Genomic DNA, 15,841 nt, shown 5'->3' with positions numbered 1-15,841 from the left:
ATCAAGCCAATATAACCTTTTAACAAGATGAAAGAAAGTTTTCCATAAAAGATCCCTCCCTGCAACATTTGGAGAGTAAGGGAAATATTTTGTTGATGGAAATGTGAACTGAGAACCAAGGAAATGCCATCTTAGTTCTATTATGTTTTGATTTGTTGGATGAACTTATATAAATGTCCTCTAAGCTTTAATTTTGCCATCTGTGAATGGGGGACAGAGTGTTCTTTCTATGTCGTGTTCACATGGGCACTACAATAAAAGCAATAAACTAATGCAAAAGGAAGAAATTATTTCTTAGACCACAGCAGTCTTGATTGACATTTGAAATTATTTTACACCTCCAAATTCTGTGATTCTAAATAATAAAATGTTTTCACTCTGTCCAACCACCATGTTTAAATACACTGTAAAATCTAAAGACCTCTTTCATATTACAGTAAGCCAGGCTATAATTTTTGATATACATAAACCGCCATGCTCCTGTTTTCTCTCTTTATATTCAAAGCTGAACATATGCTTGTCGGAACTTTCTGCCTCCTTTTTCTCTCCCCCAAAACCCAAGGATTAGGTGGATTTTTAAAATTTTCGACCAGCCTGGCCAACGTGGTGAAATCCCATCTCCACTAAAAATAGAAAAATTAGCTGGATTTGTTGGCGCACATTTATAATCCCACCTATTCGGGAGGCTGAGACAGGAGAATTGCATGAACCCAGGAGGCGGAGGTTTCAGGGACCGAAGATCACACCACTGTACTCCAGCCTGGGCGACAGAGCAAGAGTCCGTCTCAAAAAGAAAAACAAAAAATTAGCTGGGCATGGTGGCATACACCTGTAGTCCCAGCTACTTGGGAGACTGAGGTGGGAGGATCACTTGAGCCCAGACGGTCAAGGCTACAGAGAGCTATGTGATTGCACCACTGTACTCTAGCCTGGGCAATAGAGCAAGACTGTCTCAAAAAACAAACAAAAACAAAACAATTTCTTCCCTTCTCATCAGAAGGATGAAGCCAATCTCTATGAAATGGTAGACTCCTAATGAGAACATTACCCAGTATTGAATATTATGGTATAAAATATTATTACTATTGTCATAATCAGAAAAGGCTAATGTAATATAATACTTAAATTTATTTTTATTTTCAGATTTTCCTATCAAAAGCACTGCTTCCCAATTTAATTCATCTTCTCAAAGTTTTGAAAGCATCATCAGATTTAAAAAAAAATTAGTGTAAAAAAACGTCTGTAGATCTCACTGACTCATTGCTATAGCTAAGGTCTCATTAATTGTAACAGTGAATGCCATCAATTCTTGGCCCCTGATAGCTCAGCCCCTGACACCCTCCCGTGTCTCCCATTATGAGAAGTCCAATAGGGTGTGCTCCCCACATGCACTGAGCCCTACTTCAGCTCTGTGGGCTGGGCAGACTCTGCTGGACTCTGCTGCCTGTCCTTCTAGGGGCACCAGAGTCTGTCTCAGGGCTCCAGTGAGTGCTGCCCTGTTCCTCAGCCACTGCTGCCTCTCCACTTGGTGGATTGCCAATACACCAGGTTCCCAAGGAGCCAAAGTTGTCCCCCTTCTGTTTCTGTTACACTCTGTTAGAGCAGTCCTAAAATGATGCCACTGGTGCCTTGGTATTTTGCAGAGATTTGGGGAAGTAGCCATTTGGGTTTTTTTAAACTACTGGCTTCCTGATCTCTGTGAGTCACACATGAAGAACACCAAAGTGAGGAGAGAGGCAGAGACATCTGGGCCAAGAACCGGCACCATTCCTACTCAGGACTGCCCCTCTCTTATGACAACCAAGATTTCATCCTAAGAACATCTCTCCCTCATTTTTTTTAACTTTTAAGTTCAGAGGTACATGTGCAGGTTAGTTACGTAGGTAAACGTGTCATGGGGGTGTGTGTACAGATTATTTCATCACCCAGGTATTACACCTAGTACCCATTGGATATTTTTCCTGATCTTCTCCCTCCTCCCACCCTCCACCCTTGATAGCCCCAGGATGTTTTGTTCCCCTATGTGTCCATGTGTTCTCATCATTTAGCTCCCACTTGTGAGGACAGTGGTATTCGGATTACTGTTCCTGCATTAGTTTGCTAAGGATAATGACCCCCAGCTCCATCCATGTCCCTGCAAAGATCTGGACAGAACAACCATTCAACCCAACAATGCCATTACTGGGTATATGCCTGAAGGAATATAAATCATTCTATTATAAAAACACAGGCACATGTATGTTCACTGCAGCACTATTCACAATAGCAACATGGAATCATCCTAAGTGTCCATCAGTGATAGACTGGATAAAGAAAATGTGGTATGTTTACACCATGGAATACGGTGCAGCCACAAAAAAGATCTCTTTTTTCTTGACATAAATGATCTAGGAGACTTCAGTCGCCCCCACCAGAGCTTTCCTTCAGGTCTCTGCACTAATTCACCCAACAAGCCTGAACTTCCTGCAGTGGGTACGTCCCACACGTAAGCTGAGATCCCTGCTAAGTGAAGATTTACTCTTGTTCTGATGAAAACCACTCCAGACCACAGGGGATTGAACTTGAGGTTGAGGGACTGTGGGTTGAAGACAGGAGGAAAGTGAAACCAGCAGTGAGGACTGGTGGGGGAGGGGAGGCTGGGAAGCTTCCCAGGAGGATGCTCGGCGGTGCGGTTCCTCTCTTCACTCAGGCTCTCATTCTCTCTGCAGAATGACATCTTCGAGTGGTCCAGGGACCACCGAGCCCACCACAAGTACTCAGAGACGGATGCTGACCCCCACAATGCCCGCCGGGGCTTCTTCTTCTCCCATATTGGGTGGCTGTTTGTTCGCAAGCATCGAGATGTTATTGAGAAGGGGAGAAAGCTTGACGTCACTGACCTGCTTGCTGATCCTGTGGTCCGGATCCAGAGAAAGTAAGTGAATGGGCATGACGGAGAGCTGTCCCTCAGGGGCCAGGACATAGAAACAGCACAATGAGGTGGACTCATAACCCCATAGCGTTCTTCTCAAGCATTTGCCCTAACAATTTTGCCATATTTATAAGATTTATCTCTATTTATTAATTTCCTTTTGCTCATTAAATTTTGCCCATTGGCACATTTGTTTTGAGTTATAAGTTTCATTTGTAATGGATTTCCTTTAAGCCCAGTGTCATTATCTTCAAACTAATCTTGCATGGCTGATTTCATGGAATCTGTTTCTGTGTTTCCCCACTGCCCCATTCATGATTCTCTGGAGTAGCAGAAGGGGGGCTGGCTTCATTTTAGTGACACACTTGACTCTACTTGACTCCAAAAGGACTGAACTCTCTCCAGGTATCCTACTGTGTCCTGAAATTCTCTTGTAGTGAAACCTCTGCCCTGCCCATCACTCATGGAAACGTTACACTAGTAGGTTTCTGTGCAGAGAAAATGAGACCATTCAACAGAAGGCCTCAAAGCACTCATATGCCCTGATGGTGTCGGCTGAGCATACCCAGTCGGCCAGCATTTGCAGGATGAAACTGCTTTCTATAAGCACATGAAGAAAGAGTGCCTACAATTGTGCTGGCAAGTAGAGAGCGACCTTTGTTCTTGGGTTGGTCTGGGTCTGCAAAATTTGGCTGTGATGAGCTTGTAGCACCTAAAGCAATAGATTTATGTGCAAAGATGGGCAACATATGGACCATGCTCCAGTTAGAGCCTTGAGACAGCATGTTGAATAAGTGGTTACTAGTGACCATCTCCACTGATGGGTAGGAGTCATCTGAGGACTTACCTAAACAGAATCTCCTTTTCAGACTGAAAATGGACATGGAGGCTATGCCTTTGTTCAACACAAGAATCTTTGCATGAAAGGAAGGATGGCTTAGGACTGTGCTCTTTCCCCCCAAAGCCTCTCCTTTTACGCTGAGGGGAGCAGTAGAGCATAGTGAGAAACTGGCAGACCCTGGAGACAGACTGCTGGAATCAAAGTCTCTGACTCCTCCACTTACTAGCAAATGAATCAACCACTCTAAGTCTCAGCTTCATCTATAAAATGGGAGTAACAGTAATACCTATCTCCTACAGCTTTTATGAAGATATTTTTAAAATGCATGGAAAATGCCTGGCACATAGTAAGAGCTTCGTGAATGTCAGCCATTATTATTATTACACAGGCAGTTGATAGACTAGAGAATTCTCTGTTTCCATCACTGCTTTCTGTTGGTTTCACTGTAGGGTTTTCTCTGTACATCTCAATACAGCTCTTTTAGGTGAAAACACCCGGTATCAATTCAGCTCTTTTAGGTGAAAATACCCAGTATCAAGTTTTATAGCAGAAAATAACAAGATGTTTTCTTTCTTTCTTTCCTTCCTTCTTTCTTTCTTTCCTTCCTTCTTTCTTTCTTTCTTTCTTTCTTTCTTTCTTTCTTTCTTTTCTTTCTTTTTTTTTTTTTTTGGAGATGGAGTCTCACTCTGTCGCCCAGGCTGCAGTGCAGTGGCGTGATCTCGGCTCACTGCAACCTCTGCCTCCTGAGTTCAAGCGATTCTCCTGCTGCAGGCTCCCGAGTAGCTGGGACTACAGGCATGCACCACCACGCCCGGCTAATTTTTGTATTTTTTAGTAGAGACAGGGTTTCACCATATTGGCCAGGCTGGTCTTGAACTCCTGACCTCAAGTGATCCTCCTCGGCCTCCCAAAGTGCTGGGATTACAGGCATGAGCCACTGCGCCCAGCCAACAAGATATTTTCAATTAATAATTCAATGATTTATTGACGTTGATTTTCACTATGAGTGTAAAATGTTGAAGGTCATTAGAGAAAAAGATGAAAAATTCAGAGAAGTAGAAAGAAAATCATTCACAGTCTTAACAGATAAACAGACACTATTAATATTCAGTAGTATCTCTTTCTATTTCATATATTTTGCATGATGGCAGTCGTATCGCATATGTAATTTTATGTCTCACCCTTTACCTCAGATTGTATTGTAGACACCATTGTCAAAGGCTGCAGAAGATTCCATCAGTTGAGCATGTCATAGTTTATTTAACCATCATTCTGTGGTCAGCTATGTATGTCATTTCCAATTCTGTGATACAAATGATGTTGCTATATAATTAATAATACTTTGGGACAATCAGACCTTAGATTAATTTGAAGAGTTCAGATGAGAAGGCAAAAGATTTTCTGTTTTATTAATGAGAAATGAGCCGGGTATAATAGTCTGGGTTTCTCTGACCATAAAAATGGAAGATTTTTTTTCATCTTTTCTCATAAAAAAATGTTGTAGTCTGATTCATTATGTGTGTATTGGCGGCACGTATGTCTAAAGACTATTTCTAAATGCAGGAAGAAGAACAAAGACTATTTCAGCAAGTTCCCTGAATAGTCATCTGAGAACATCTTTCATCACCAGTCCAGTAACTAAAGGAGGCTGTGGCTATCAGAAACCATTCATTCATATCATCATGTCACATGTATCATTGAGCTCCTGCTGGGAATCAGTGCTGAGGATACAGCTTAAAATTGACCTCCTCTCAGAACTATAGTTTAGAACACGTTCTAAACTATAGAGGTCACCCCTAGTTGCCTGGTCTAGCCCCAGAATGATTAAGGTAGAGGAATACTGCTCTTTGAGAGTACAGGCCAAACAGGAGAGAGATGGCTCTGGATCATGTAGTTTGCATGTTAAAGGCATGCTCCTGGCTGGGCCCTTTATTATCTCTAAGAATTGCCTAGGCCCAGGAAAGCCAGGCTCTCCCCAAGCAGAAAGGCTTTTAAGATGCCAGAACATCCTAATATGTGAGTGTGTGTTTGTGTAATACATCCTATGAGCAAACTAGTAAAACGTAGATAGAGGAAGCCAGAAGTACATGCATCTTAGATTATTCACTCAATGTTCTTGTGATTATACTTTACTGTTTGAAAGAGGCTACAGCTGTCTTCAGATGTGTGGGTGAGCACTGAAGTCCTGTGGTAATTATACAGCATAGAGAACATAGAGATCCGTAATCCAAAATAAGGCTTAGAATCACTGAACTAAATGAAGCAAGTTTCCAACATACACAGAGGCAGTCAACTGTTCAGATATTTTCATGTTCGTGAAGCTGGCTTTACCGGTCCTGCCAGTTAGACGGTGGAGAGGAGAGTCCTCACAGGAATCAAAGTCATTATATGTGGGGATAGGAGCTGAAGGGGTGGATCTTGGTGTCAGGCACCGTCACAGCAGATCTCAGTTCATGCTACCCTGGGCTGCATGGAGAGCTTCCTGAGTAACAGAAGAAGGTGCCCAGCTGCATTTGGGGCCCAGACTTGGGTCATTTCAGTGGCACACTTCTCATGGGCTGAATCTCCACCTGCTCTTGTATGACTTTCCTAGAGGAACAGTCCCTATTCCAGTTGGAGGCAATCAGAATTCACAGCTGACTCCACCACACTCCCAGGGTGCAATGTTTGTGCAGATCAATCAGCTAAGTGCCTCTTGGAGAGTTTACTCAAACAGGTGATAGAGACTGAGGATTTAGAGACTCCTCCTTCAGTCCACTCAGGACACTAACACAGATATTGCAGTTGATTGATAAACTTTTGCTGAGCCATTCTAATAACAACTTACTAAAGAAAAGCTTGGCAGAGAGGCTTAATCAGCTTTCCATTTTACAGTCTCATGGAAGAGAGAAGGTAGGAGCAGGAAAGCAACACATTTCAAGCTATACTTCCAGACCCTAAAAGATAATCTTACGAAGGCTGTCATAACAAGTAGTTAACTGGACTAAACCACATTTTGCTGCACTGTCAATGTGTAAATTGTGTAAAGGCAGCCATTAGGAGGTGCAAGGGAGAGAAGCCAGTGGTATTGCCTTTAGGCTCTGGCAACTAGGGCCCCTGTCCTAGGTCTTATGACTTAAAGGGCCACACTTCTCTCCACAAAGTGAGGAGATCACAGGGCCAAAGGAACATGGCACCTGCCTAAATCTTCCTTGACTTCTGGGCCAGGCCCTGGATTCCTAGGGTCCTAGATTCCTCCCTAAATGCTCTGAGCTCTCTTCTAGAGCCTATAGCAGTCTCCTCCTGGGATCTGTTCTCCCAACAGGAAATACATAGAGCCTAGGCCTGAAGAGTGGCCAAGGGGCAGTGTTAGCACAGGGACTTAAGTTTTAAAGTGTGAGGTCAGATATCCACCTAATGGGACAGAGCAAAAGGGGAAAAGGAAAAGGGGTGAACCACAGGCTAGGGACTTCCACCTATACTCCTAGCTTGAAACCTGCAAATGTTGGGGTGAACCTATCCGTGAGCCATTCATAAGGTTGAGCGTGGATCCATCAAGAATTGTGTTTGGCTTAAACAAGACAGAAGGTTATTTCTCTTATATATAAAAGAATTCTGGAGACAGGCAGTCCAGGGAGGACATGGCAGCACTGCAGGGTCAGTAGAGAACTGGGATTCCTTTATCGTTCTGCTCTACCATCCTCAGCAGGGGACTTTCATTCTCAGTGTCATTTCATGGTGCAAACTGATCACTAAATCTCCAACCAGAAGGGGAATCAGGGAGGCTGAAGGGAGCACATTGCTGAGTTGAGTCGGTCGCCTTTAAGGAGTCTTCCTAGAAGATACAACCTATCCACTTGTCTCTCATTGACCATATCTGTACCCAGGGAAACAGGGAAATGTATTCTCATGGTTAATGCGTTGGACCCTTGAATAAAATCTTGGTTTTGTTTCTAAGGAAGGAAGGGTGAATCGATATGGGGTAAACAATTAGCAGTCTCTGCCATAGCCACACAGTTGTTCTGCCTTAAGCAGAGCGATTTGTCATCTCATATTCCTCAGTCTTATTTTTTGTGAACCAAGTGGGTAGCCTCTCTGTCTCCATTAATGAACAGAAACTGGAATCTCAAATCATCTTTCTCAGATGACAAAATGAAGATAAAATCCAGAGACTGTTTCTCCTAATGCTTTGCTTATTCCATTGAGTCCCATTTTAGGGAAGACATTCCTCTAGAGGTTACATGTAAATGCTGTCATGCATTTTTAAAGTAGACAGGGAGGATGCTAGTCCAGACACATAAAAACAAGGTCCTTGCCTTATTGCCATGGTGATGAGATAAACTGAAAGAAAATGGATGGAATGGTTCAAAAGAGCAAATCAGTTCTGTTCTGGTGCCTTGGGAAGAGATCAAAATGTATAAATATTGCCATTCCAGGAAGAAAGGCACTCAAACATCTAGAATATTTTTGAGGCCTGTTTCACCTCAATTCATCCCCTAGTCTGTTATCTCTAGTCTTCTCTCCCACCTCCCAAGAATGAGCATCACATTTCTCAGTGATACCCTCTTTTTTGTTGTTTTTAAAGGCTCATTATTTTAAAGAGCAGTTTTAGGTTCAATTTAGCAAAATTGAGAGGAAGGTTCAGAGATACCCCATGTACCTCCTGCCCACACACATGCATAGCCTCTCCCATTATCAGCATTCCTTACCAGAGTGAATATTTGTTACATTTGTTGAACCTACATTGACACGTCACTGTCACCCAAAGTCCATAGTTTCCATCAGGATTCATGTTGGTGTTGTATAGTCCATGGGTTTGGACAAATATATAATGACAAATGTATCCACTATTGTAGTATCTTACAGAGTATTTTCACTGCCTAAAAATCCTCTGTTCTCTGTCTGTTCATCGCTCTCTTCCCCCAAGCCCTGACAACCACTGATCTTTCCACTATCTCTATAGTTTTGCTTTTTCCAGAATGTCGTATAGTTAGAATCATACTGTATGTAGCCTTCTCAGATTGGCTTCTTTCACTTAGCAATATCTATTTGTGCTTCCTCCATGTCTTTTCATGACTTCATAGCTCATTTCTTTTTCGTGCTGAATAATGACCAAAATGTGGTCCAGATCTATTGAAGTTTATTTATCCATTCACCCAGTGGAGGACATCTTGGTTGCTTCCCAGTTTGGTAATAATAAAGCTAGAGTAAACATTCATGTGCGGGTTTTTGTGCGGACATAGGTTTTCAACTCCTTTGGGTAAATACCAAGGAGCACAGTTGTGGGATTGTACAATCACAATATTTTTAGTTTTGTAAGAAACAGCCAAACTGTCTTCCAAAGTGGCTGTATCGTTTTGCATTCCCAACAGCAACGAATAAGAATTTCTGTTGCTCCAAAATCTTGCCAACATTTGTTGTTGTCTATGTTCTGGATTTTGGCCATTCTAACTAATATGCAGTGGTATCTCAATGTTGTTTTAGTTTGTATTTCCCTGATGAGATAAGCTTATTGTTCCATCTATATATTTTCTTTAGTAAGATGTTTGTCAAGATCTTTGGTCCATTTTTAAATCAGGTTGCTTTCTTCTTGTGAAGTTTTCAGAGTTCTTCATATATTTTGGATAACAGTCCTTTATCAGATATGTCTTTTGCAAATATTTTATTCCTGTCTGTGGCTTGTCCTTTTATTCTCTTGACAGTATCTTTTGCAAAGTAGAAATTTTAAATTTTAATGATGTCCAGCTTATCAATTCTTTCTCTCATGAATCATGCCCTTTGATGTCATATATAAATTGTCAAACCCAGAGTCATCTACATTTTCTATGTTATCTTCTAGAAGTTTTGTAGTTTTGTGTTTTACATTTAGAATTGTGATCCATTTTGAGTCACTTTTTGTGAGGTGTGTGAAGTCTGTGTCTGAATTCATTTTTTCGCATGCAAATGTCCAGTTGTTCCAGCATAATTTGTTAAAAAGACTACCTTTTCTCTATTGTATTCCCTTTGTTCCTTTGTCAAAGATCAGTTGACTATATTTATGTGGGTCTATTTCTAGGCTCTCTGTTATGATTCATTGATCAATTAGTCTGTTCTTGTGCCAGTACCACACTGTCTTGATTACTTTAGCTTTATAGTAAGTCCTGAAGTCAAGTAGTGCACTCTTCCAACTTTGTTCTTCTTCTTCAATATTGTGTTGGCTATTCTGAGTCATTTGCCTCCACGTATAAACCTTGCAATCAGTTTGTCAATATCTACAAAATAACTTGCTGGGATTTTGATTGGAATTGCATTGAATATAGATCCAGTTGAGAAAAGCAGACATTGACAATATTGAGTCTTCCTATTTATGAGCATGGGATAACTCTTCATCTATTTAGTTCTTCTTTGATTTCTTTCATCAGTGTTTTATGATCTTCCTCATACCGATCTTGTACATGTTTTGTTAGATTTATACTTCTTTCATTTTTATGGTGCTAATGTAAATGGTATTGTGTTTTTAATTTCAAATGCCACTTGTGCTGGTATGTGGGAAAGCAAATTGACTATTGTATATTAACCTTGTATCTGGCAACCTTGTTGTAATAGCTTATTAGTTACAGGAATGGTTTTTTATTTTCAATTCTTTCAGATCTTCTACAAAGACAACACATCATCTACAAACAAAGACAATTTTATTTCTTCCTTCCCAATCGATATATCTTTTACTTCCTTATCTTATTGCATTAGGTAGGACTTCCATATAATGTCAAAAGGGAGTGATAAGAGGGTACATCCTTGCCTTTTTCCTCATCTTAGAGGAAAAGTATATAGTCTCTCACCTTTATGACATTAGCTGTATATTTTTTGTAAATATTCTTTATCATTGAGAATTTACTGAGAGATTTTATCATGAATGGGTGTTGCATTTTGTCAGATGCTTTTCCTGCATCTATTGATATGGTCATGTGATTTTTCTTCTTTAGCCTGTAATGTGGTAGATTACATTAATTGACTTTCAAATTTTGAACCAGCCTTGCATACCTAGTATAAATCCTACTTAGTTGGAGTATATAATTCTTTTTATACATTGTTGGATTTAATTTACTAACATTTTGTTGAAGATTTTTAGCATCTGGCTCATGAAAAATATTGGTTTGTTGTTTTCTTATAATATCTTTGTCTTGTTTGAGTATTATGGTGATACCTCATAGAATGAATTAAGAAGTATTCCCTCTGCTTTTATTTTCTAAAAAAGAAATTCTCTCTTTTAGAAATTATACCAGTTATCATAGAGAATTAAATATATGGTCGAATTCACCAAAATAGAACCATCTTGGCCTGGTTCTATTTTGCAAGGGTATTAATTATTGATTCAATACACTTAATAAATATAGGCCTATTTAGATTGTCTATTTTTTCTTGTTTTGGTAGATTGTGCCTTTCAATGATTTGGTCCATTTCATCTAGGTTATCAATTTTGTGGGCACAGAGTTGTTCATAGTATTTCTTTATTATCCTTTTAATATCCATGGGATCTGTAGGGGTGTCCCCTCTTTGACTTATGATATTAGTAATTTGTGCCCTACCTCTTTTTTCTTAGTCTGGCTAGAGGCTTATCAATTTTATTAATTGATTCAAAGAACCAGCTTTTGGTTTCATTTATTTTTAAAATTGATTTCCTGTTCATAATTTCATTTCTCTCTGCTCTAATTTTTATTATTTATTTTCTTCTTCTTACTTTGGATTTAATTTGCTCTTCTTTTTTTAGTTTCCTAAGATGGAAGCTTAGTTAATTGATTTTAGATATTTTTTTCCTAACATATGTAGTCATGCTGTAAATTTTCCTCTAAGCACTGCTTTTATGGCATCCCACAAATTTTGATAAGTTTTGTTCTTATTTTAATTCAGTTTAAAATATTCTTAAATGTCTCTTGAGATTTTTTTCTTGGCCCATGTGTTATTTAGAAGTATGTTGTTTGATTTCCATGTATTTTGGGGTTTTCCAGTTGTCTTTTTTTGTTTGTTTGTTTGAGACAGAGTCTCGCTCTGTTACCCAGGCTGGAGTGCAGTGGTGCAATCTCAGCCCACTGCAACCTCTGCCTCCTGGGTTCAAGTGATCCTCCTCCTGCCTCAGCTTCCTGAGTAGCAGGGATTACAGGAGCACACCACCACGCATGGCTCACTTTTGTGTTTTTAGTAGAGACAGGGTTTCACCATGTTGTCTAGGCTGGTTTCGAACTCCTGATTTCAGGTGATCCATCCACCTTGGCCTCCCAAAGTGCTGGGATAACAGGTGTGAGCCACTGTGCCTGGCCTCCAGTTGTCTTTTATTATTGATTTCTGATTTAATTCCATTGTGGTCTGAGAGCAAACATTGTATAATTTCTATTCTTTTAAATTTGTTAAGGTGTTTTTTATGGCTCAGAATGTGCTCTATTTTGGTGAATGTTCTATGTGAGCTTGAGAAGAATGCATATTCTGCTATTGCTGGATGAAGTAGCCTGTAGATGTCAATTATATCTTGTGGATTGATGGTGTTGTTGAATTTAACTATGTCTTTACTGATTTTCTACCTGCTGGATCTGTTTGTTTCTGATAGTGGGCTGTTCACATCTCCAATTATAATTATGGATTCATCTATGACTCCTTGCAGTTTTATCAGTTTTTGCTTCACATATTTTGACACTCTGTAGTTAGGTGCATACACATTAAGGATCATTATGTCTTCTTGGAGAATTAACCCCTATATCGTTACGTAATGTCTCTCTATCCCTGATAACTTTTCTTGTTTTGAAGTCTGCTCTGTCTGAAATTAATATAGGTACTCCTACCTTCTTTTGATTATTATAAGAATGGTATATCTTTCTCCATTCGTTTAGTTTTAATCTATAAGTGTCTTTATATTTAAAGTGGGTCAGTTTCTTGTAGACAACATATAGTTGGGTCTTGTTTTTTGATCCACTCTGATAGTCTCTGTCTTTTAATGGATGCATTTAGACCATTGATGGTCAAAGTTTTTATTGATGGAAATAAATTGATATTTCCATCCAATTGATATTTGCCATATCAATTGATATGGAATTGATGTTTGCCATATCAATTGATATGGAATTGATATTTGCCATGTCAATTGATATGGAATTGATATTTGCCATATCAATTGACATGGAATTGATATTTGCCATATCAATTGATATGGAATTGATATTTGCCATATCAATTGATATGGAATTGATATTTGCCATATCAATTGATATGGAATTGATATGGAATTGATATTCCATATCAATTGATATTTACCATATTTGTTACTATTCCATCCAATTGATATTTACCATATTTGTTACTATTTTCTATTTGTTGCAATTTTTCTTTTTTCTATTTTTGTCTTTTATTCTTTTTCTGCCTTTTGTGGTTTTATTTGAGCATTTCTTCTCATTGATTTTTAGTTTTGGAAGTTTCTATTCATATTTCGTCAAACTCAGAGATTCTTTCCTCAACCATGTCCAGTCTACTTATAAGCCTATCAAAGGCATTTTTCACTTCTGTTACAGCATTTTTTATCTCTATCATTTCTTTGTGGTTCTGTCTTAGGATTTTCATCTCTCTGCTTATATTGCCTGTGTGTTCTTGCATGCTACCTACTGTGTCTGTTACAGCCCTTAGCCCGTTAATCATAGTTATTTTAAATTCCTGTGTGACAATTCCAAGGTCCTTGCTATATCTAGTTCTGATGCTTGCTGTGTCTCTTCAAGCTGTGTTTTGTTTTGCTTTGGTTTTTGCCTTTTATTATGCCTTATAATTTTTTCTTGATAACTGGACATGATGTACTGAGTAAAAGGAACTGCTGTATATAGGTCTTCAGTAGTGTGGTGGGAGGTGTGTGGGGGTAGGAGATACATTCTAGAGCCTTGTGATTAGGTCTCAGTCTGTTAGTGAACTTATGCCTCTGGACTGTGGACTCCACAAGTGTTTCTTAGTTTCTTCTCTCCTCATTTAGGTGGAACAAGATGGCTAGAATGGGCTGGAGTTGAGTATTTTCCCTCCCCCAGGTTGGTTAGGCTCTAAATAAAACCCCAGCAGGTCAGGCTCTGGCTAACTAGTTTCTCCCGAAGGTAGGTCTTGTTAAGAACAGAATACTCTGGTATATTTCAAAGTGGCTCTTTTCCCCTCCTCCTGGTGGAAATACAAGGGAATTTATTTTTTTTTTCTGATACTTACTCTGAGAACCTGGTCAAGCTCCTGGAAGGAAAAGTCACAAAAGCATGGGGGACTCCCTATGACTAGATCCCCCTTGGAGATTTTAACCTTCAGACTTGTCCATACCTAGCCTCCAGCAATTCATCAATTAAGGTCAGGTTTTCCTAACACACCACTAGTTCCTGTGAACCACTCCCTATGTTGTGATTCTCTGTATCTGCCTGTCTGTCCAATTTTGGGAACAGTGGTTTTCCCTGTAATCTCACATCTCTTACTAATCTCAGAGTTGTTGACTTTTTTTCAGTTTGTTCAGCATTTTACTTCTTGTTAGAATGAGTGGCAACTTCTGAGCTCTTCATGTGGAACCGGAAACTGGAAATTGATACTTTCCTTTTTTTTTTTTTAACGTTATGTAGCCATGCCTGTCTAAACCCTAAGTGTATTTCTCCATTTTGAGCATCACATATCTATCCAGGGCAGGGTGGTTAGACAAAACAATTTTTGACTCATCTTTGCTTCTCTACCCCACCTTCATCTTCTACTTTAGGGATTCTCAATGGAGTGGGATGTATCATCTGGGGATTTGCAACCAACCTGACTCCATCTCCCTTGACTGAATCCGTTGCTCTTTGATCATGGTTTTATGTAGGGCTTTGGGGAGTCTCTTTTTGTTCTCAGTCCATTTGCCATGAAGGTCCCTCTACCTGTTGCTAAGTTAATAGAACAATTCCTCCCTAGATGTTAGTGCGGTTGAGCACATTCAAAGCCTTGGTTGGTTATCTGTATTTTGTGAAAAACTCTGTAGAAATCATCTCAAAGGAGAGACCCTGGATGATGAGACATCCAAGCATCTAAACATGTGTTTGGAATTTGGGGAGAGACATGGAGACAGGGGCTTTTAAGTACAACCATGCTCTGCCACTCCCTTACTACTCAATTACCCTGGGTTTGGTGATTGCCTATTTTACTCAGGTAAAATACTGGTCCTGCAGCAGGGAAACCAAACTTGGCCCTAAGGTAAGCATCACTTGGCCATGCTGTAAGCAGAGCTCAGCTCTTTGGTATCCTTTCTGCCAGCTCACAGTTTAATAACAGATGCCATGAGGCATGTGGCATTTTCTCAGCGAAGTCGGCTTCTTTCTCTTTTCTACATGTATCACTTATTCATTTGACAACTATGTTTTGAGTACCCACTATATGTCAGGTGATGTTCAAGATGCTGTAGATTGAACAGTGAAAAAGAAAATAAGATTCTGGAGAGTACTTGCCCTATCTTTCTAGAGCTCCCCAGTTTGGGTCTGGGAATGTGGGAAGAGGAAACTCCAGCACACATCTGCCCAATGCCTGACTGGGCCCCTCTCTCTACAGACACCTTTGCTCCTCCCCATTCAATCTCTCCCATTACTCAATCTCCGTCCCACTGATCTGTTTCTCGGTTCACTCCCTCTTGTCTATTTGCCTCTTTCTCTCCCTATAGTCTTTGTCTTTTCACCTGCCAGACAGCTTTGTTCCTTTTTTTGTACCCTTCTCTGCATGGAGACATTTTGCCTCATCTGTCACACTGTGTTCTTAATGCCATGATGTTCTTCTTCTCTCACAGTTTTATAAGAGAACAAAAGCTGTTTAACCTATTGCTCAGCAAGACTCTTTTTGTTGTTGTTTTTGGTGGGGAAGTGAGGAATTTTGTCCTCTTATATTCTCTCCTCACTTCATCATCCTGCTTTGATTTATTCTTTTCAAACATTCCTTGTGAATGTAAATATTTCCTCTCCTTGAATCTTATCTCCCATTTTTGAGAGGCAGTATATCTTTGGTTAACAGCTTGAGCCCTGAAGTCTCTGTTACTCTGCCCTCACCTCAAACCACTACATCTTATCCTGGCTCTGCAAAAATTTTGAGAATGTCCCTGAAAATGACAGCTACTGTTAAAC

At 39.8% G+C, this 15,841-nt stretch overlaps 1 protein-coding gene across 2 annotated transcripts in view; it reads left to right on the top strand.

Annotated features, from left to right (window-relative positions):
- The window catches only part of SCD5 (stearoyl-CoA desaturase 5), a 169,258-nt gene that overhangs the window by 115,176 nt on the left and 38,241 nt on the right, over positions 1 to 15,841 (top strand). For both annotated transcript variants that reach the window (NM_001037582.3, NM_024906.3), the window contains exon 3: positions 2,709 to 2,914. In NM_001037582.3, coding sequence (NP_001032671.2) covers positions 2,709 to 2,914 — 206 coding nt within the window. The remainder of the gene's footprint in view (positions 1 to 2,708; positions 2,915 to 15,841) is intronic.

The sequence above is a fragment of the Homo sapiens genome, chromosome 4 (genome assembly GCF_000001405.40).
Source record: "Homo sapiens chromosome 4, GRCh38.p14 Primary Assembly".
Taxonomy (NCBI): Eukaryota; Metazoa; Chordata; class Mammalia; order Primates; family Hominidae; genus Homo; species Homo sapiens.
The sequence above is the reverse complement of the archived record's forward strand: the minus strand, read 5'-3'. Positions and strand labels throughout refer to the sequence as shown.